We start from the raw sequence: 23,462 nt of genomic DNA, 5'->3' as shown, positions 1-23,462 counted from the left end.
AACTATTATCCATTTTTCATCTATGTAGCTAAAGTCAGATGTCTGTTAATTAGAACACATTTTTCACAAATTTCTGTGATTTTTATCTTCAAGCTCATCCATTAGAAGATGCCATGCAGCCCCTTTGGAAGTTTTATCAAACTTGCGTGCTTTTTTTTCAGTGCTCTAGCAAATCATTCAATAGGTGAGTGAGGGAGTCCACTGAGCTTTTGGTTGTAACATATTCTAAAAGTAACTTAGGCATATCCAATGTACTGTCATAAAAATTACTTGTAACTCCTGTTCCATAGAGTTTCTACGTATTAAACAGAGTTGTGCATCAGAGATGAGGTTTGGAACAGATGTACATGTTCACCAGAGGTTTGACGATCCAGGATAATGGTCCCTGTATTGAAGTGCAACTAAATGTTGCAGATGCTAAATTACCTACTTCACATACTTTTAACCTGCTATGTCAAGGCAAGTAGGCAAAAAGACACAATATACCTCTTTTCTGAAACAATTCTGTTTTTCTTTTTATTATAACATCTCAGTTGTCTCCCCTTCTGTAATTTTGTTAAGAAACAAACTGACAGATGGCTATTTCCAACCACAATTTAGGGCAAAAATACAATTATGAAAATTTGAGCCATTATATTTATTACATTTTGAAATAAGTCTCCAATATCACCCATATCAATTTCTTTATCATTTCCCTCTATTTTACTAATTTTAATAGTTTATGTTTAAATCTGACTTCCAAGACTCCAGAGGGGAAAAGAAACCTCAGTAAACAATAAAAATATTAACACAATTTCCAATGAATAGGGTGAAAAGTTCCTTAATACTTTATTCTTCCACAATATCAGGACCAAATGAAAGAGGTACACAAGTGGTTTTCAATTATCTCAATAAACATCAGTATTTTGTCAAATTCCTTTAATCCCTAGAACATAAGAAACATGTTTTTTTCTTATATCATTAGATTTTTCAATCCACAGAAAAATAAGTGGCACTTAAGTAAATCTTAACTCTTAGGTTCTTTCCAGAAAATTTTGTAGAAATTATCGGAAATACTTTAAAGATTTTAGTCACTGTTTAAATTCTCTGGGGTTTAAATCCTATTTATTAAAACTATTCTAATTCTACTGCATCCCCAAGGCTCAAGTTTACCAAATCACATTCACGTTTGGATGTGTATTTTGTTATGTTAGCTTATTTATCCCCTAAGTAAATGCTGCAATTCAGTAATGCAATTTGTCTATTCAATGATGAGAATACTGTACTTCAAATTTCAGATATATTGTTCATAGATAATCCCTCTCTTGGTCTTTGAGATGGATAGTTATCATCTGGGGAGAGGCAACACAAACTCCTTTCCTATTTCTGGGGAATTCTCAATTGGTTACAACACCAGTGGAATAAGGTATCTCACCTCCAACCATGGAAGCTAAAGAGAGGAGGTGGTACTTTTCCCCACTCCATCCCTGAGATCTGGGACGCAGGCAGGAGAAGTAGCTTTAGCCAATCAGACATCTTATATTTTCCCCCAAGACTTTGAATCTTGAGGGAGGAATGCAAAGACACAGGACAAGTTTAGAAATCAGTCACTGTGAAGCGGGCAGTAGGAAGAGGCCATCAGAAGTAGATGTGGTCCCAGCTGCAGCATCCTAACAAGACTATTCCAGCAGCATAAGTCGACTCAGGCAGTGGTTGCTGGTGTCTTTGGCCACTACCTGTTTTTTGCTGTCTGAGTGATTCTGTGAGCTATCTCATATATTTCTAACAAAATTATTTTCAGCTTTAAGTTACCCAGTCAGTTTCTATTACTAGCAATCAAGAACCCTGATAAACATGGTCGTAGAAAATAAGACTTCTTTCTCTAAGTCATCTTTAGTGTGCTTTTTTTTTTTTGCATGTTGAAATATTTTGCATCTTGGTTTGCTTAAGTCTCTACCCCACTGGCATTGGTAACATATGCTTTGAACTCTGGGTTTTCTATTTTAAGTACCCAAATATCTCTTCATTCTTACTTTTATTTTATAAAATGTGGTAGTTACATATACTGTATATGAGAAGCATATGTGTACAGACCCTCTGAAGGAAGAGGACTGCTCCTGCAGGACCCAGGAGACACCCCAAATATTGTTGAGTGCCCCAACTGCGGAAGTGGGAAAGGGAGAATCTTCTCTCCCGAACACACACCCCCCACTGGAGAGACTGAAGGTCTGTTTGCAGGAGAAGTTTCCAACCCTACCTGGAGCTGAGTCAAGTTAGAGAGCAGAGCAAAATACAGGGTACAGCAAGCAGTGGGAAAGGCCCTGGGAGCTCGCTGCGTTCCCAAGCAGGCCATTCCTGCCTGGCACCACGGGGATCCACTGGGAGGGCAGTCAGAGGAGCAGGGGGAAAACACAGGGAGAAGGAAATCTCCAGCTAGACTTTGTAACAATTTAAATGGAGCAAGAAGCCTCCTGGCCAGAACTCAAGGGAGGGAACAAATCCAGTGTGCAGACCACAGGCTGGGGAAGAACCAAGCCCTTTTCTTTCACAGCTGGGAGGTGAGCAGCCTGGCACAAGTTCTCAAGCCCAGCTCGCCCCAGCACCTGGAAACAGACTCAGGGCTTTTGAGGGGCACGGTGGGAGTGAGACAGGCCCTTCAGTTTGCATGGGAGCTGAGCGAGGCCTGTGACTGCCAACTTTCCCCCACTTCCCTGACAACTTGCACGACTCAGCACAGGCAGCCATAATCCTCCTAGATGCACAACTCCATTGACCTGCAAAACTCACCCCCATCCCCCGCAGCAGCCATAGCAAGACCCACCCAAGGAGAGTCTGAGCTCAGACACTAGCCCTGCCCCCATCTGATGGGCCTTCTCTATCAACCCTGGTAGCTGAAGACAAAGGGCATATAATCTTGAGAGTTCTAGGGCCCCACCCACTGCCGGTTCCTCTACATACTACCACAGCTGATGCTCTCTGGAAAATGCCACCTCCCAGCAGGAGGCCAACCAGCACAAAAACACAGCATTAAACCACCAAAGTTAAGAACCCTCATGGAGTCCATTTCACACCCCTGCCACCTCCACTGCAACAGGCAATGGCATTTATAGCTAAGAGACCTATAGATGGTCCACATCACAGGATTCTGTGCAGACAATCTCAGTACAAGCCCGGAGCTGGATAGACTTGCTGGGTGGCTAGACCCAGAAGAGAGACAACAATCACTGCAGTTTCACTCACAGGAAGCCACATCCATAGGGAAAAGGGAAGAGTACTACATCAAGGGAACACCTCGTGGGACAAAAGAGTGTGAACAATTGCCTCCAGTCCTAGAACTGAAGCTGCTCTAGGGTTGATGAAGCCGACCCAAATTAGAAAAAGCCAGAAAACCAACTCTGGTAATATGACAAAACAAGGTTCTTTAACAACCCCGTACCCCCTCAAAAAAAAAAAAAATCACACTAGTTCACCAGCAATGGATCCAAGCCAAAAAGAAATCCCTGCTTTACCTGAAAAAGAATTCAGGAGGTTAGTTATTAAGCCCATCAGGAAGGCACCAGAATAAGGCATGCCCAATGCAAAGAATGATACAAGAAGTAAAGGGAGAAATATTCAAGGAAATAGATAGCATAAAGAAAAAACATTCAAATCTTCAGAAAACATCGGACACATTTACAGAAATACAAAATGCTCTGGAAAGTCTCAGCAACAGAATTGAACAAGTAGAAGAAAAAATTCAGAGCTTGAAGACAAGGTCTTTGAATTAATCCAATCCAGCATAGACAAAGGAAAAAGAATAAGAAAATATGAACAAAGCCTCCAAGGAGTCTGGAATTATGTTAAATGACCAAACCTAAGAATAATCAGTGTTCTGGGGAAGAAGAAAAATCTAAAAGCTTAAAAAACATACTTGGGGAAATAATCAAGGAAAACTTCCTTGGCCTTGCTAGAGACCTAGACATCCCAATACAAGAATCGCAAAGAATATCTGGGAAATTTATCACAAAAAGATCATCACCTAGGCACATTGTCATCAGGTTATCTAAAGTGAAGATGAAGGAAAGAATCTTAAGAGCTGTGAGACAAAAGCACAAGGTAATCTATAAAGGAAAACCTATCAGCTTCACAGCAGATTTCTCAGCAGAAACCCTTCAAGTTAGAAGGGGTTGGGGACCTATCTTCAGCCTCCTCAAACAAAAGAATTATCAGTAAAGAATTTTGTATCTGGTGAAACTAAGTATCATTCATAGATGAAGGAAAGATACAGTCTTTTTCAGACAAACAAATGCTGAGAGAATTCACCACTATTAACCCACCACTACAAGAACTGCTAAAAGGAGCTCTAAATCTTGAAACAAATCTTGGAAACACATCAAAACAGAAGCTCTTTAAAACCTAAATCACACAGTACCTATAAAACAAAAATACAAGTTAAAAAGCAAAACAAAAACAAAACAAAACAAAAACAAAGTACACAGGCAACAAATAACATGATAAATGCAAGGGTACCTCAAACCTCAATACCCACATTAAATGTAGATGGTCTAAGTACTCCACTTAAAAGACACAGAACTGCAGAATGGATAAGAACTCACCAACCAACTATCTGCTGCATTCAGGAGACTCACCTAACACATAAGGACTCACATAAACTTAAAGTAAAGGGGTGGGAAAAAGGCATTTCATGCAAATCAACACCTAAAGCAAGCAGAGATAGCTATTCTTATATCAGACAAAACAAACTTTAAAGCAACAGCAGTTAAGAGACAAAGAGGGACATTATATAATGGTAAAAGGCCATGTCCAACCAGAAAATATCACAATCGTAAACATATATGCACCTAACACTGGAGCTCCCAGATTTATAAAACAATTACTAATAGGCCTAAGAAATTAGATAGACAGCAACACAATAATAGTGGGGGACTTCAATACTCCACTGACAGCACTGGACAGGTTAGCAACACAGAAAGTCAACAAAGAAACAATGGATTTAAACTATAACTTGGAACAAATGGACTTAACAGATATATACAGAACATTCCATCCAACAACTGCAGAATACACATTCTTTCAACAACACATGGAACTTTCTCCAAGATAGACCATATGATAGGTCATGAGTCTCAATAAATTTAAGAAAATTGAAATTATATCAAGAACCCTGTCAGACCACAGTGGAATAAAACTGGAAATCAACTCCAAAAGGAACCTTCAAAACCATGCAAATACACGGAAATTAAATAACTTGCTCCTGAATGAGTATTGCGTCAAAAATGATATCAAGATGGAAATTAAAACATTCTTCAAACTGGATGACAATAACGACACAACCTATCAAAACCTGTGGGATACAGCAAAGGCAGTACTAAGAGGAAAGTTCACAGACCTAAACACCTACATCAAAAAGACTGAAAGAGCATGAATTGACATTCCAAGGTCACACCTCAAGGAACTAGAGAAACAAGAACAAACAAGAGAGCTTGGCTATTTATTTCCTTCTTCCAGCAGAAGAATGGAAATAACCAAGATCAGAGCAGAACTAAATGAAATTGAAACAAAAAAAATACAAAAGATAAACAGCTAGTTGATTGAAAAGATAAATAAAATTGATAGAACATTAGCAAGATTAACCAAGAAAAGAAGAGAGAAAATGCAAATAATCTCATTAAGAAATGAAACAAGAGGTATTACAACAAACACCACTGAAATACAAAAGATCATTCAAGGCTACTATGAACACCTTTATGCACATAAACTAGAACACCTAGAAGAAATGGATAAATTCCTGGAAAAATAACAACCCTACTAGCTTAAATCAGGAAGAATTACATACCCTGAACAGACCAGTAAAAAGCAGCAAGACTAAAATGGTAATTAAACAATTTCAACAAAAAAAAATGTCCAGGACCAGGCAAATTCACAGCGGAATTCTACCAGACATTCAAAGAATTGGTACCAATCCTTTTGACACTATTCGACAGGTAGAGACAGAAGGAATCCTCCCTAATTCATGCTATGAAGCCAGCATCACCCTAATACCAAATCCAGGAAAGGATACAACCAAAAGAGAAAACTACAGACCAATATCCATGATGAACATAGATGCTAAAATCCTTAACAAAATACTAGCTAACCAAATCCAACAACATATCAAAAAGATAATCCACCATGATCAAGTGGATTTCATACCAGGAATGCAGGGATGGTTTAAAATATGCAAGACAATAAATGTGATACACCAAATAAACAGAAATTAAAACAAAAATTACATGATCATCTCAATAGATGCAGAAAAAGCATTTGACAAAATCCAGCATCGCGTTATGATTAAAACTCTCAGCAAAACTGGCATACAAGGGACATACCTCAATGTACTCAAAGCCATCTATGACAAACCCACAGCCAACATAATACTGAATGGGGAAAAGTTGAAGGCATTCCCGCTGAGAAAGGGATCAAGACAAGGATGCCCACTCTCACCACTCCTCTGCAACATAGTACTGGAAGTCCTAGCCAGAGCTAGGACAAGAGAAAGAAATAAAGGGCATCCAAATCGGTAAAGAGGAAGTCAAACGGTCACTGTTTGTGGATGATATGATTGTTTACCTTGAAAACCCTAAAGCTTCCTCCATAAAGTTCCTAGAACTGATAAAAGAATTCAGCAAAGTTTCCAGATACAAGATTAATGTACACAAATCAGTAGCTCTTCTATACACTAACAGCAACCAAGCAGAAAATCAAATCAAGTACTCAGCCCCTTTTACAATAGCTGCAAAAAAAAAATAAAATACTTAGGAATACACTGAACAAAGGAGTCAAAAGACCTCTACAAGGAAAACTACAAAACACTGCTGAAATAAATCACAGACGACACAAACAAATGGAAACACATCCCCATGCTCATGGATGGATAGAATCAATATTGTGAAAATGACCATACTGCCAAAAGCAACCTAAAAATTCAATGCAATCTCCATCAAAATAGCACCATCATTCTTCACAGAATCAGAAAAAAACAATTCTAAAATTCATATGAAACCAAAAAAGACCCCACAAAGTCAAAGCAAGACTTAGCAAAAAGAACAAATCTAGAGGCATCACACTACCTGATTTCAAACTATACTATAAGGCCATAGTCACCAAAACAGCATGGTACTGGTATAAAAACACACACATAGACCAATGAAACAGAATAGAGAACCCAGAAATATAACCAAATATTTACAATGAACTTTGGGACTTGAGGAGAAGGGTTGGGGTGGGGAGGGCATGAGATAAAAGACTCCAAATAGGGTGCAGTATATACTGCTTGGGTGATGGGTGCACCAAAATGTCACAAATCACCACTGAAGAACTTACTCATGTAACCAAATACTACCTGTACCCCAATAACTTATGAAAAAATAAAAGAAGCATATATGTGTTTGTTTTTTATGTATTTTAATTTTTCACACTTTAATAGAAAAACATCTTTAAGACTGTCCACTTCTATATTCCAGAAATTGTGTTTCCTTAATAATAATGTTTCTACATTCCACTGTTGCTCCCTGGTTTGTTCCCTCAATATTTTTTTCATGAATATTGCAGTGGATTTCTTCTTAATTGATCTTAATGATCTTTACCACACTTCTTCATTTAAGATAATTGCCATTAAAATAGCATTTCCTAAGTCATTTTCCACAGAAGTTTCCATAAATAAGTGTGATAAACATCAAGTTAACAAAACAGCAAAAAAGTTATGTTCTCTGCAGCCCTTCTCAGAGCCTTTAATATGCCAATCTTCTCTATGAATTTCTGAGAGAGGAAACAAAATAGAAAAATGTTTGTGATTCATCACATAAACAGACCTAAAGACAAAAAACACTTGATTATCTCAATAGATGCAGAAAATTCTTTCAATAAAATTCAATACCCCTTCATGTTAAAAACTCTCAATATACTAGGTATTAAAGGAACATGCTTCCAAATAATAAGATTCATCTATGACAAACCCACAGCCAATATCATATTGAATGGCCAAAAGCTGGAAGCATTCCTTTTGAAAACTGGCACAAGACAAGTCTGACCTCTCTCACTGCTTCTAGTCAACACAGTATTGGAAGTCCTGAGAAAAAAATAAAGGGCACCCAGATAAGAAGAGAGGAAGTCAAACTATCCCTATTTACAAACAACATGATCCTGTATCTAGAAAATTTAAACAACATAATCCTGTATCTAGAAAACTCCACAGTCTTGGCCCAAAAGCTCCTTCAGCTGATAACGACTTCAGCACAATCTCAGGATACAAAATCAACATATAAAAATCACTAGCATTGTGACATACCAACAACAGTCAAGCTTAGAGCCAACTCAGGAACGTAATCCCGTTCACAACTGCCACAAAAAGAATAAAATATTTAGAAATACAGCTAACCAGGGAGGTGAAAGATGTCTACAATGAAAACTACAGAAGAATGCTCAAAGGAATCAGAGGTGATACAAACAAATAGAAAAACATTCCATGCTTATGCATAGGAAGAATTAACATCGTTAAAATGGTCATACAGCCCAAAGCAACTTATAGATTCAATGCTATTCCTATCAAACTAACAATGACATACTTAAAGAACTAGAAACAACTATTTTAAAATTCATACAGAAACACAAAAGAGGCTGGGTGTGGTGGCTCACGCCTGTAATCCCAGCACATTGGGAGGCTGAGGTGGGCAGATCACTTGAGGTCAGGAGTTCAAGACCAGCCTGGCCAAATGGAGAAGCCCCATCTCTACTAAATATACAAAAATTAGCTGGGTATTGTGGTACACGTCTATAATCCCACCTACTCAGGAGGCTGAGGCAGGAAAATTGCTTGAACCTGGGAGGCAGGAAGTTGCAAGTGAGCTGAGATCACGCCACTGCACTCTAGCCTGGGTGACAGAGCAGGACTTCATCTGCTCTGTCAAAAAAAGCTATTAAGAAATCATAAGGAAAAGACAATATATTTATTATTTATTAGGTGGAAGTTAGATCATCATGAAGGTCTTCATCTGCATCTGCTCCAGTGATGGGCACACCAAAATCTCACAAATCACCACTAAAGAACTTACTCATGTAACCAAACACCACCTGTACCCCAGTAACTTATGGAAAAAAAATTTAAAAATGCCGCACCAAAAAGAACGTGTTGAATGCAAATACAATCATATCTCCTTCCTGATTAAAAATCTTCAATTGTTAATGATAGTTCAATAATGATAGTTCGTCGGTAACAGTAGCAGGGATCAGAAAACAATGGCCCATGATGGACCAAATCATACCTGCAGTTTGTCTTAGTTTAGTCTTCAGACTATGAATTGTTTTTATATGTTTTAATGTTGTAAAAAATCAAAAGAAGAACACTACTATTTCATGACATGTAGACATTATATAAAATTTGAATTACAGTGTCCATAAAATAAAGTTGTAGTGGAATATACCCATGCTCCATTCACATGGTTCATGTCTGCTTTCATGCTACAACGACAGAGTTGAGTCATTGTGACAGACTCAAATTTGGTTTATTTGTAAACCAAAATGTCAGTTTACTAGTAATGGGAGATATTAAAGTGTGTGGCCCACAAAGCCCAAAATGTTTACTACATAGAAAAAAATAAAAATAAAAATAAAAAATTTACTACTGGGCTTATTGTAGAAAAAGCGTGCCAACCCATATGCTATAGAACAAGGTCTAACTCCCTTACCAAACAAAAGAAAGCCTTTTAAAATCTATCCCATGCCTAGCTATCCAGGCCAATCTCCCATATCTCCCACCTGTGTTTAAAAAACAACAACAAAAAACCTGTTTGAAGTTGCACTATCTCACGTGCAAATTACGTTAACCAGTTTTTAACAAATTTGCAAAACAAAAATTTTTAAGAGATACTGGATATTCAAAGAAAATTAGAGACTTTTTTTTTCTGTAATAACAGCAAAAGCATCTTAATTCTATTTCAAAAGAGATTTTTCATGGCTTACCAACCTCAAAAGCACTGTATTTTGGCTTTTCTCAAAGAAACCACTTCACCAGATGTTTGAGGTTTTTTGTGTACACATTTGTGCCTTTGGAGATAAATTTATTGACTGCATTTACTGGAAGACAGCCCTTTCACAAAGGGAATGTAAATTTTATGCTGAAAAATTTATCACACATTTTTTTCCCTGAGGAATTTTAGTACTAAATTAATTCTTTATTGATTAAAGTAGCAAAGCTTTTTTGGCATAGTTTCTAAATATCCCTTACCTAAAAGACCATTTTGATAAAGCCAAAATATAAAACTTAGGCCAAGCAACCACTACCACAATGCCCCAAATTGTGCATAAGTGGATGGAAACCACTCAGTATTTCTGCATGACTATGCACGGCCTGCCCGCTTGGTATGCATTGCTCCACAGAGGCATTTTAAGACTCAAAGGCTCTTAGCCCAGTGATAGCCTCTCTGTGGCATGTTTTCCAGATCTTGGGAATGAGCAGGAATATTTACAGGCAAGTCATAGCATAACATGGCAATAAAAAAACATACTTAATGGAAAAATACCAAACACACATCTGGCATCTTCTAAACCTGTTTTCCTGACAGAAAACTCAAACACAGTAATTTTTAGTTAAAAATCAGACATTTACAAACCCCAAATTTATAAACCAACATGTCATTTTACTAATAACAGGAGATACTAAAATGTCAAAATACTTCCCACATCTGAATTATACCTTCCCTAAACTAGGAAGTAGTACTCCCAGATGTTTGTTTGCATAAAGAGACCCAGAGAAGGATGCAAAGCACAAAAGTCCATTATTTCTTCTGAGAATTAAATATATGAAAAGACTTAGTAAACTAACTTGCCCTTAACTTAAAAACACATTGTTTGCCTTTCTCATATCATTGAGGCTTCTCATTTGCAAAATTATGGAAATGTAATTACAGAAGACAGAATTTTCAAAGAAAGTAGTGTGGCGCAGACCAGCTCCTAGAGGATGCTTAATAAGAAGTATATGTGGCTGTTTGGGGGTGGATATGTCCATCTTTCTCCAGACTGGACATCTGTCTATGCTCAATTTGTATGGCTATGGCATTCTTTTCACATGAGAGGTGGAGTTCCACAGCTCTCATAAGTGATAAAACACTTCTATGCTTGCTGTTTCATTTGTTCAACAAATGTATCTGAGTGCTTTCAATAAATACTAGTCTGAGTCATTGCTAAGACAGGCAAATTGTATTCCTTGTAAAATACACTTATCCAGAACCTTAAAAAAAGACCATACATAAGTAGCAATATCCATATTATACCGAGGTCAAGCAAAAAAACAACAGTAAACTTTCAGGAAATCACCAGTCACTTTTTCCACCAGCAGTCTCTGGTTCGACAGACAAGATGGAGTGCACAGTCCATCCCACCACTTGAAAGTACTTCTTCATTAGTGGTGATGGCAGGGGCAATGGAGCAGGCACAGTTAGATGCCAGCGCAATAATGAAAAACAATGAATCATCACTAGAACTTTGCATAGAAACATATTTTGCAATTAAACCAATTCTGTTAAGCAGAAAAGAACATCAGGATTAAGTTGCTGTGCTTTAGAATACATGCAAAATAGTCTTCCGTAATAAAATCACAAAACAGATAATACATTACAAAGAAGGTTTCTGCATAACAAAAATACTATGTATTCACATACTAACAGCTCATTTATTTAGTTAATAAATACTTATTGGTTATTATCCTGCACAAGCATTCTTCAATGCACACAACAATTACACTGTAATTCCTTCTTTCAAGGAGTGATAGTCTAGAAAAATGTAGTGTGGCACAGTAGAGCTACAGTTAAAATTTTTTGCCATCAGGAAGAAATGGAAATGAGAGTATCGGAGGAAAAAAAGAATGAAAGTAAAAGGGTATAAAGAGTATGCATATTATTTCATGCAAACTTGAGAAGTCTCAAGACTTAGAACTAAAATGACAGGCAGAGAGGAAGAGAGAAAGGGAATTACTCTTTCCATTTACTATTCTCATATCGCTTTCTCGTATTTGTTAATCCTCCACAGAGAACCTGGACAAATTTTATCCATCTACATTTCCTTTGGACAGGCAATATGATTTCTAGCAGTACCGTCAAATATAATAAAATATTCACCAACAAAGACAACAATCAATTTATCATAAAGAGATTTTACTTTTATCTGTAAAGCATTACAGTAAAATGAATTCAATGAGAACGCATGGCCACCAAGAGAATAGACTGATTCACTCCAGCTTAAATCCATAAGTTGCACATTTTTGCTCTAATATTTAAAAAGAGGTTTTCTTGTTTATTCTACTTATAACAGCAAAGTACATTTTCCAAAATTCTGAATATTGTCAGAAAACAGACCCATGGAAACCTAACACTGTCACATTGCATGGGACAGTGGTCCCATAAGATTATTGCAGAGCTGAAAAATCCCTATCACTTAGTGACACTGTAGCCATTGTAATGTCATAGATGTAACACATTATTTACCTTTGTGGTGATGCTAGTGTAAACAAGTAGACTGCACTGCCAGTCACTACAAATATAGCACATACAATTAGGTACGGTACAAACTACTTGATAATAATAAAAATCTATCTTATTTATATATTTACTATACTTTTATCATTATTTTAGAGTGTATTCCTTCTACCTATAAAAAAAAGTTAATCAAAAAACAGCCTCAGGCAAGTTCCTTAGGAAGTATTCCAGAAGAAGGCATTGTTATCATAGGAGATGACAGCTCCATGCATGTTATTATCCCTGACGAGCTTCCAGGGGAACAAGAGATGGAGGCAGAAAACAGTAATATTGATGATCCTAACCCCTATGTAAGCTCCAGCTAATGTGTATCTTTGTATCTTAGTTTTCAACAAAAAAGTTTAAAAAGTAAAAAATTTAAAAATAGAGAAAAGGTTATAAAATATAAAGAAAATATTTTTGTACAGCTGTACAATGTGTGTGTTTTAAGCTTATTATGACAAAAGAGTCAAAAAATTTAAAAAAAGTTACAGTAAGCTAAGGTTAATTTTTTTACCAAAGAAAAATACTTTTAATAAATTTAGTGTAGCCTAATTGTACAGTGTTTATAAAGTGTACAGTCAAGTAGTTATGCCCTAGGCCTTCACATCAACTCCCCACTCACTCACTGACATACCTAGAGCAATTCCCAGTCCTGCAAGCTCCATTCATGGTAAGCACTCTATACAGGTGTGCCATTTTTATCTCTTATATTGTATTTTTACTGTACCTTTTCTATGTTTAGCTACACAAATAACCATTTTTGTTACAACTGCAGAAGATGTAGGAGATGTTGGGATCCAAGGATCCCCAATCAGTGCCATCTCTTTCTGATGAGTTCTGAAGCAATTAAAAAATAAGAAAAGTGTATGAGGCAAGCTCAAGTCCAAAATGTCATCCTTGTCACTGATAAATACAGCAGAGAGCTACTTCAAGATTAAACATTGCATCTAGAGATGCTCTATTGCACAGATACTCTTTCCACTGATGGAAAGCACCACCAAGGGTGGTGCTGTAGGGGAAGAGAGATGTTTAAAATGGCAAATGTTTAAAATTGAGCATTTGGATCTGGTAAATTTTGAAATCATCCCACTGAAGATACTTTCCTTCCAAGCTCAATAAACAAGCTAACAGATATTTTGTAACCCAAATGCTTTCCTCAGTGCCATCCTCACTGTGTCAATGGTATCTAGCTAGAGATGGAAGAATATTATCTGTGAAGTACATAGTCATAGGTATTTCATGGTCCATTAGCTAAACTCTATTCTGGCTGTTGTGGAGTGCTTAAATGGCTTTAGAAATCTCTATGGAGATACAGTATATTTTAAGAAGTAATCAAGCATGCAAATTCTAGCATTTCATTTCAAAGTCTAAGTCAAAATTCTATAACACTATTAATGGTTTAATTGCTAAGTTGTTTTGTTGGCCATGGGGTTCAGGTAGAACAATCTTTATAGTTCCCTGAAAGATAGAGTGAATTCTAATTAAGGTAACTTGATATTAAAAATAGATACAGTCATGTCATTGATTAACAACAGGTATACCTCCTGAGGAATGTGTCATTAGGTGATTTCATTGTTGTGCAAACATCAGAGTGTATTCACACAAGCCTAGACAGTATAACCTACTACACACCTAGGCTGTAAGGTATAGCCTATTGCTCCTAGACTATAAACCTGTACAGTATGTTACTATACTGGCTCACTGTCCAAACCACCCAAAGTCAGGTCACAGGGCCACTGTTTAAGAATTCCACTTGTCACAAATTCCCTTATTAAGAAGTATGTAAAAGAGAGAAAGTTATAAATTTTTCCTATTATAAATTTCAGATATTCTGAAATAGAAGTGAGTTATGCAAATGTTTAAAAGACACTTGATGGAATAGCAATTAATAGGAATACCTACTCTTTTTTTAAAACATTTTGACGAATTGAGCCTTATATCATAGTACAGTTCTGAATTCAATGGATCTTTAAGAAAAACTTAGTAAGGTGACTACTAAATTATTTAGTTGCACCAAAATAATTTTTATTATAATTTCATGCTAGTCATCGATTTCTGACTTATGTCATTATCTCACAACGTTTCCAAGTCTTTTGGAAAGTGACAAGATAATGCTTTCTTATCAATAAAAATTCATTTCTGAATTTTTATAATGAATTGTTCTACATACATGAAGAAACTTAACCTCAATGAATTGGTAGATTCAACTCAGCACTAACTGAATTGGTAGACAACTTTCTGGGGGGAAATAAGACAATGTGGGAGTACTCAGGGGAAAAGAGGCAAGTTTGAAATGGGGAGATCTTAACCCTTTCAGGACAATATAGTCCTTCAACGGAGAGAGAAAAATTTGGCACCTCTTCAGATAAAAATTCTCTAGCATGCGGTCTAATACAGATGTGCTCCAAAAACGATACACATAATACTAGAAATTTCCTATTCGTGAATGGTGGGCACTCATTGACTAACAGTGAATTGCCATTATTACTGCTCAGTGGAAACACATTTCAACAGTTTAACAAGTTCTTCAGTTAATTAATTCTCCAATCATTTAACATAGTACCAGCTGCCAAAGCAGGCTCACGGTTGAGTAAACCATGAAGCTCATTCACTTTCACACAACAATGAACTGCTAAGGCTCTCTTATATGATCATAAGTAATGTCATTCATACATCTATGCAATTATGAAAACCAGAAAACCACAGAGCAGGGTGACCCAGAAATGCCAGTTCCTCTAAGAGAAATTCAAAGCAACTTCTGATGTCACTCTATCACCCTTATTTTCTGTTTTTTTTTAACCTTTTTTTTTTCCTTATCATACTTTCATTGCCATTCTTTTCCCTCCACTTTGTTTTCTTCTCCCTCTTACCCATTCTCTATATCTGTCAAGGATTCCGGAGGCATCGACTTCTGTAAGAGGAAAAAACTAACAGTGTCAACATCTCCTTCACTATAATAGGGAAAAAATGATGGTCTAAAAGAGGGCCTGTGAAACCCTTCCAAAAAGGGAGGATATGGAAAAAGACACTCAGAGGGGCAGAAGAAGAAACTGGGTGCATGGGTGGGACCTGCTCTCCACTTCTACCAGCAGTGCCGACCGGACTGGGGGAAACCAGGAAGAATTTCCAGGTCACTGATCCATAAAGAGCCCCAGCCTGCTGCATATCAAAATAAATATGGTCTAAGTATTTTATTAGCAGTGTCCCCCTGCTTCAAACAGGCAAAATCACACACTCTGGGCCCCAAAATCCCCTGCGTGGCTCTGGCTCCCTCTGCTAAAGACAGAAGAGTAGCACAGTGTTCCTGGTGTCAGCGTCAGCTCACCAAGCAAAACGTTCACATGGTATTTAAAATTCAGGAAAACGTTCAGAATCACTGCATCTTTTAAACGTTTTCAACAAACGGAGCCTTATATCATAGTACAGTTTTAGATTCAATGCATCTTTAAGAAAGCTTAGTAGAGTTACTTCTAAATTATTTAGTTACACTGATATAATTTTAATATAATTTCATGCTGGCCATTGATTTGTGACTTATTGTCTAACAATGTTTCAAAGACTCTTGAAACAACTAGAAGGTAAGAGATGTCTTTAACAATAGTGTGTGTGTGTATATACATATATAAGCAAATTTATTTGTACTTTAAGAATTCTTACCTTTCTATGCATATCAGGAGCTGCATAAACAGTGATTGTAGCATAAAAGTATAAAAAATAAATCTTTTAAAACTTTTTTGAAATCTTCACCTTATACTACACTACTTAAAAGATATACAGCATTCTTGAAGAAATGCGTATTTCACATCTCTTTTCCTGAACGTTTGTGTTTTTCAATTATATTGAAATTATTTTATAGCAGAATCTAGGACATTCCGACTTTGCATATATCCCTTAAGTTCCATACGGAAGCATGAAAATTGTCCCTCTTTGAAGGACATGAAGCCTCCCTCAGACCTTAATATATCAAAGGCAACCAGTATGAACCAAGCTTAGAGATTCCTCTCAGATGTTCTGCACTGTATTCGATTTTTGGAAATTCTGGATATGTGGACAGAAGTCCCAAAATATAATTGATATTTACTTTCTTATATCCTTCAAAAGTGGGAATTTAACTTCTGAATTAATTTGATTTAGAAACCTTGAATGCTGTGATAATTCTTAATGAATTATGAGTAAACTTTATAGACCTCATTTCAAAGATAATCATCAATACTAAAGAAGTTGTTAAATGCTTCCTTGTCATAAAAATTATATAGTCAATCATCTGTGTCCTGAGGTTTAACTCAATTTAGACTATTAAACATTTCATATGGTTTCTAATTATAAAGGTATCAGTCATACCAAAGGATAAATAAAGTTAGCAGTTCATACAATGCCTATAGTATCATTTTTTGGCATACAAGTGTTGACAGATTAATCGAACAATCTGAATTTAGTGGAGTCCAAACATGGAATGGCTTTATTGTCTTCAATAACAAAACCTTTGAATCTCCATTTCCATCTCTTAAAAAAATCTGAGCCAGAATCTAAGATGCTTTCTGGATATTTCGAGCTACTGAAGTTCCCAATCTTGCCCAAACTTAAAACTTCAATTTCATACCCAAGAAACACTCCTCTAACCTAACTTAGGCTCCCTGTGCTTCTCCTTCCCACTTCCCTTTTCTTGTTCTAGCTTTTCCTTTGTTGAAGCAGAAAGTAGAGCTTAGAGAAAAGTGCCAAAAACATCGTTTACCTTCCTTGTGCAGTTACAGTCTTCCCTTAGCCAAAGACAATCTCTGTATGGTGTGCGTAGAAAGGCTCGTGTTGTGTGTGTGTTTTTTTTTAAGACACCACAGGTGAGGTCCATTGGATGCCCCCTTGAGGCAGCCTCTCCGTGCTACAGGTGTACCTTCTGATGTGGTACACCTGCTCTGGCTCAGGACTTCAGTCCCTGCTTCAAATGCTATCACCAATGATCAAGCACACCTGGCTCCCTTGCACCGGTAGCCCAGTGTAAAATTCCACCTCCCTGTTCCCTAAACAATGGATGATGCACAAGCTCCTCACTTCTCGTCTCTCTGCCTTGTGGTTACTCTCAGTTTGCCCCACAAAGTTTGCTTACATCATTGTGGAGCAGGTTGGCAAGGCTGCTATGGGAACAGACATCTAATACAGGCTTGAGATACCAATATCATCCTCTTCCAAGCATGCCAGTTCCTATGAGGGATTCTCTTAGACCCCATTTCCTTGCTTTATGAGGGGAGGACTATGAGGGGGTAAAACCATAACTCAAAGCCACAGTGAACATCCTCGAATTCCTTAACTTTTTCTTATACCCACTGGGAGTAACGATCAGACTAGCAGGTTTAATTTGACTATCTCTTTTCATTTAATTTGTTTTGTTTTTAATTTTTTATACCTTTAAAATTGATTTTTGTTTATGCTATCATACAGATAGAATACAAAGGGAAGGTGTATTCGTCCATTTTCATACTACAATGAATAAATACCCAAGACTGGGTAATTTATAAAGAAAAGGAGATTTAATGTACTCACAGTTCCACATGGCTGGGGCACGTCTTACATGGCAGCAGGCAAGAGACCATGTGCAGGGGAACTGCCCTTATAAAACCATCAGGTCTCATGAGACTTATGTACTATCATGAGAACAGCACAGGAAAAACCTGCCCCCATGGTTCAATTACCTCCCACCAGATCCCTCCCATGACACATGGGGATTATAAGTACTACAATTCAAGATGAGATTTGGGTGAAGGCATAGCCAAACCATATCAGAGGGATCCCACAGCTCAGTGATGGCTCTCTGCAGAATATGAAAGCATTCATTAGTTTTGTTTTGAAGTTTTAGCAAAAATTCCAAAACAGGAGAAGTCTCATTCCCCATCCTGTTACCCACTGTTAACCAAAATTTGAGGAGTATAATAAATTTTTCAGGCTGTACTTATCCCACAATTACTACTTTCCTTTATAAGGCCAGAGAGATTTATAAAACAATTTCATCAGTGCGTTGAAAAAGACATTTCTAGAAGCCATTGGCAGTTAGGAGTCGCTTCTGTTAAGAGCCACACTTTAATCTTTTCCATTTTATTCAAGGCTGTGAAAGCCAACAGAAATAATTTTGTGACTGTAGAATTGGCCTCCTCTTTGAAAGGACAAACATGAAATCAAATATAGGAACTCATTTTTGAGAAATGTTTGTAACTCCTTTTTTCCTTTAGTCATCTTCTGCACTCACTGCGATTATTTCAAACCTTTACTCTACCTCTTAAGTTCAATTTTAAGTTTTTTCTCATTCCTTGCAGCTTCTAAGCTGTTTATTAGATAGTAAGGGTGTTGTTTTGGTTCTCAATTTGTTTTCTTATTCCAGTCATCCCCATTTTTATCCCACTCTTCTCTTAAATCATCTCATCTTTGAGTCTTGTTTTAACAAATTTATGTTTTCAGTAAGTTTCTCTACAGAGTAAATTTTAAAAATATATGCTTTCTGGATAATGTTTTCTTTTATACTGGGTTCACTCTCACTTTGTATATCGGGCTTCTTCCCTCTTTTCCCCTTGGTATGTGTGCATAGGTTTTTGTGTGTTTGGTTTCAGTTGTTTCCTACAGTTATATTTTGATTTTGCCTAATGTGAGACGCTCTATCCAGACCATGTGTTTGCCCTGACATTATGTGTGTGAGAATTGTTCTGATTTCCCTTCTACCAAATCTGGGACAGTGGGTCTTATAAGCTCTAACCACTTTTATACTGCCTAAGATCATGGGACTAGTAGAGGGGTTGTCTTGACCAAGACCAAGTGCACTTCTGGCTAGGAGACTCCAGGCTCTTGATCGCCCTGATATCTAGTACCCATGGGTTGCTCACTCCCCAGGCTTGGGCTTGTTATCCCTACTCAGCACAGCTGTCTAAAATTGCCCCTCTGAAGGGCAATTCTTGCCCCTTCAGAGGTACTGTGATGCCATATAGGGGCTTCCACTCTCAACATTTTTTTCTTAATTTCCCCCAGAAAGAACTTTGGTGTAACTATTTGGGATGTACCTTCCCTAAAACAAAAATTCCTTCCTGGTGCCTGAATTCTGGCTCTTCTCTTGTAGAATCTTCACCTCCATTACAACTCCTTCTCCCTCAGACTCTAGGACCAGTTGTATAAGGAGAGTGGAAAAAGAAGGATTCAAAAATACTATAAGAACTTGTAATGGGCTGGGTGCATTGTATATCATTATAGGTAATTTAATTTTCATTATACTCCAAATTTTTTACATAAGAAACTAGAAAATTTAAGGAGGTTTTATAAGTTGTCACGACTCCGAGAAGCAGAATTCTATCCTAGTTCTAGCCAACCTCAAAGCTATGTTCTCTACGCTACACCTGTGGGGTGCTGATAAATGTTTAACAGCCAGTTCTGGAGGTGAGAGAGAAGGGGAAGGCCTGATATGTGACATTTGTGATCCCATGGTGTAAATAATCCCACCATGATCAATTTCAAGTTCTCCATCAATGAGCTCACAAATGTCTTTAAAATGTTATCAGCTCTCCCCAGTCATGGCAAGCTTGTTCTAACACACGAATTACACTCCATATTAATACCTAGTTCTCTAGTTTCAACCATCACACTTACTCCTTCTCTGATTCTTCTCCTTAGTTTTATTAACCATGCCAAATTTCCAAATTCTCTGGGCTCTTCTTGACCCCAGGTATGTAACTGGATATTCTTACTAATCCCTGTGCTCTACTCCCTAAGAGGCTATCCTGGCACCCACATGAGCCTGGAACCTTGCTTTGCCTTTGCTAGATTCTTAGCCAGGGTCTGGACACCAGTATAGAGCTCTGACTACCTATACATAGATGATAAAAACCACATGATCTACCTAAATTTCTGAGTGTCATCTGCTCAGGGTTTGCCCACTGCTATCCATGTACCACCTGTCTATCACCGCAGAGTGTATAGATCCTTCCTTCCAAGACTCAAAGGTCTGTTTCCCAGGAACATTTTCAAACATTGTGGGAAGGTCTAATTTCAGGTTCCCAATCTTCACAGTTGTCCTTTATCTGCTGCTGAGAGAAGAGAGACAGACCCTCTCATATTGCTTTATATTGTTTTATACCCAGAAAAGGAAAGAGAAGTGAAACTAAAGGCAGGTAGCCCGGCGCCTAGGAACCAGACCTGAAACCAGGCCTGGGCCTGCCTGACCTAAGCCTGGTGGTTAAAATTCGACCCCTGACCTAGCAACCGATGTTATCTATAGATTCCAGACATTGTATGGAAAGACATTGTGAAACTTCCTGGTCTGTTCTGTTTCACTCTGACCACCGGTGCATGCAGCCCCTGTCACGTACCCCCTGGCTTGCTCAATCAATCACGACCCTTTCACGTGAAACCCTTAGCGTTGTGAGCCCTTAAAAGGGACAGAAACTGTGCACCTGACAAGCTTGGATTTTAAGACGCTAGTCTGCCGATGCTTCCAGCTCATTAAAGCCACTCCCTTCACTATCTCGGTGTCTGAGGGGTTTTGTCTACGGCTCGTCCTGCTACACTGCAATTAACCACATTTTGCTGATGTATCCCCAGTGTATGATGTGGAACCAAGAGCATGCCCACAAAAGAGGAAAATGAGTAAGCTTCTGTGGCACATCAGTGGTGAAGTACCACCTTCCCTCCCGTTAGATGTAGAACAGTCACTGTTGCCACTGCCACCACTACCACTACTCACAGCCCATCAGAACAGAAATCAACACTCCAACATCTCCCATTTGAAAGACTATCTGCTGTAACCCTGGATTTCCCCACTTCTCAATTGTTTCGTAATTTGCTGAATGTTTGGGAAATCTGTGTTCTCTATCCTGAAGCTGTGGAACACAAACTATTCACTGTATTTAGTGTCGAACAGAACTGCAATTTCTAAAGCTACTTAAAAGAGTGGGGGGAGGCATTTCCCTAACTTTCAATATTCTGCAGAAATAATTTGAAATGAGTAAGCTGAATCCATTCATTATTATTGCATAAATCAAAGACAAAATTATTTTTCTGAGTAAAGAAAAAAGGGGAAGTTGGATTCAAACTAAATTTAAGAGCACAAATTAAATAACATACAAAATGTTAAATTAAAATGTTAGTATATTCAAATTGTATAATTTAGAAATTAACTTGATTCGGAACTTCTAAGATTCAAAAATCACTGAACAAGGATTAGGGCTTAATCATTCACATCTTCAAAGAAAGGTCTTATTAGCACTTGATAAGGTGTTAACTGAATTCAATGACACTTCTGAGGAATAAAAGGTAATTTGACTGTCTTATCTTTGCTCGACAATGTCTGTGTTTAACCTGACAACCCAAAATAATCTTCCTTTTAGATCAGGTACACATCAACATATTGTAATTAACTACAGGTGATTTAACAACAAATAATTTAACTGTTACAGCTTTGAGTCTGTAAACAGTCTCTATAGTTCTCACAATTGTTCGTTTTGCATTAAAGAGTTTAATGACTATCTCTTTTTTTTTTTTTTTTTTTTTGAGACAGTCTTACCCTGTTGCCAGGTTGGAGTGCAGTGGCGCAATCTCGGCTCACTGCAACCTCCGCCTCCCAGGTTCAAGTGATTCTCCTGCCTCAGCCTTCTGAGTAGCTGGGACTACAGGCGTGCGCCACCACTCCCAGCTAATTTTTGTGTTTTTAGTAGAGACGGGGTTTCACCATGTTGGCCAGGATGGTCTTGATCTCTTGACGTCGTGATCTGCCCGAGCAACCGTGTCCGGCGTCTATCTCATTTTTAAACACATTGCAACAATTTCTGCAAAAACATATTGAAAGGCTAATTCCAATGTAGATAAGTGTGACTGTAACATCCTATTAACACATTTCTATCAATGAAATAATGAGTCAGTTAATGCTATATATTAGCCTGACAGATTGTCAACATATAATGTAAATCAAATGACTAAGAAAAAAGTTTAACATGTAAAAACTTATAATACAGCTTTAAAGAATTAATCACAAAGGATTTATCCTAAAGGTTGTTTATACAGATTCAGAATCTTGAAGCCCTGTGTTTTGTTTGTTTGTTTGTTTGTTCATTTGTTTGAGATGGAGTCTCCCTGTGTTGCCCAGGCTGGAGTGCAGTGGTACGATCTCGGCTCAATGTAACCTCCACCTCCCAAGTTCAAGTGACCCTCCTGTCTCAGCCTCCCAAGCAGCTTGGATTACAGGCAGGGTTTTGCTATGTTGGCCAGGCTGGTCTCGAACTCCAGACCTCGTGATCTGCCAGCCTTGGCCTCTCAAAGTGCTGGGATTACAGGCATGAGACTGTAAGTGTCTTTGAGATTACTAAATAAACTAAAGTGATGCAACAAACCATTCAGATAGAAGGGAAATCTCAGAAAGAGAGTTTTAAAGGAAATTTACTTCACTGATTTTTCCCACTCCTCACACCAGAATTTTGATTGTAATATTGCAATAGGGTCGACATAAGTTATTCATAAATAAATAACAATGTTTATGGGGTTTCTTTACCAAGGGACTTTATGAAAATGACAAACATGCTTGCTTGCAAACAACTGAACATACTCTTTAAAAGAGTTATACATTCTTAATTCATATAACAATGATTTTAACTGAGTTACAAACACATATGTAAACATAAATGACACTAGAGTTCGGATACCAAGTTTCAAATGCACTAAGAAATCAGTAAGAATCTCCACCAGATTCTTGGTGAGACCCAAATGGTATTCATCCTACAGGCCCTAGAACCTCTACTCCACTGCACGTTGTCGTAATACCCCATAATGGTAGCAACTATTACGCATCCCCTAATGGCATAAAATCATGGATTTTACTTGTTAATCACTACACAACCATTTTCATGTGGGCTCCATGAGGTTGTCAACACACAGGCTCAGACTCCATCAGTTACCTGCTGCTGGCTCAGGAAGTCA

General features: G+C 37.6%; 1 long non-coding RNA gene across 3 annotated transcripts in view, besides 1 other annotated feature; it reads right to left on the bottom strand.

The window, feature by feature from the left end:
* LOC105370461 (uncharacterized) overlaps positions 1-23,462 on the bottom strand; it is a 433,650-nt gene that overhangs the window by 82,017 nt on the left and 328,171 nt on the right. Inside the window, exon 4 of one of the 3 annotated variants that reach the window (XR_007064128.1) lies at positions 8,937-22,318. The exons of the other annotated variants lie outside the window; for them this stretch is intronic. This is a non-coding gene — a long non-coding RNA (uncharacterized LOC105370461). Of the gene's footprint in view, positions 1-8,936; positions 22,319-23,462 lie in introns of those variants that run through there. 3 annotated transcript variants of the gene reach the window in all.
* Positions 2,103-2,613: an enhancer, noted in NCBI's record as "H3K4me1 hESC enhancer chr14:40250573-40251083 (GRCh37/hg19 assembly coordinates)". NCBI's record gives its function as "activates a minimal SCP1, AML or CMV promoter by ChIP-STARR-seq in primed H9 embryonic stem cells {active_cell/tissue: H9 hESC(primed)}" and the evidence as "EXISTENCE:reporter gene assay evidence [ECO:0000049][PMID:30033119]".

Source organism: Homo sapiens, chromosome 14 (genome assembly GCF_000001405.40).
Source record: "Homo sapiens chromosome 14, GRCh38.p14 Primary Assembly".
Taxonomy (NCBI): Eukaryota; Metazoa; Chordata; class Mammalia; order Primates; family Hominidae; genus Homo; species Homo sapiens.
This window is presented reverse-complemented; position numbering and strand designations above follow the sequence as displayed.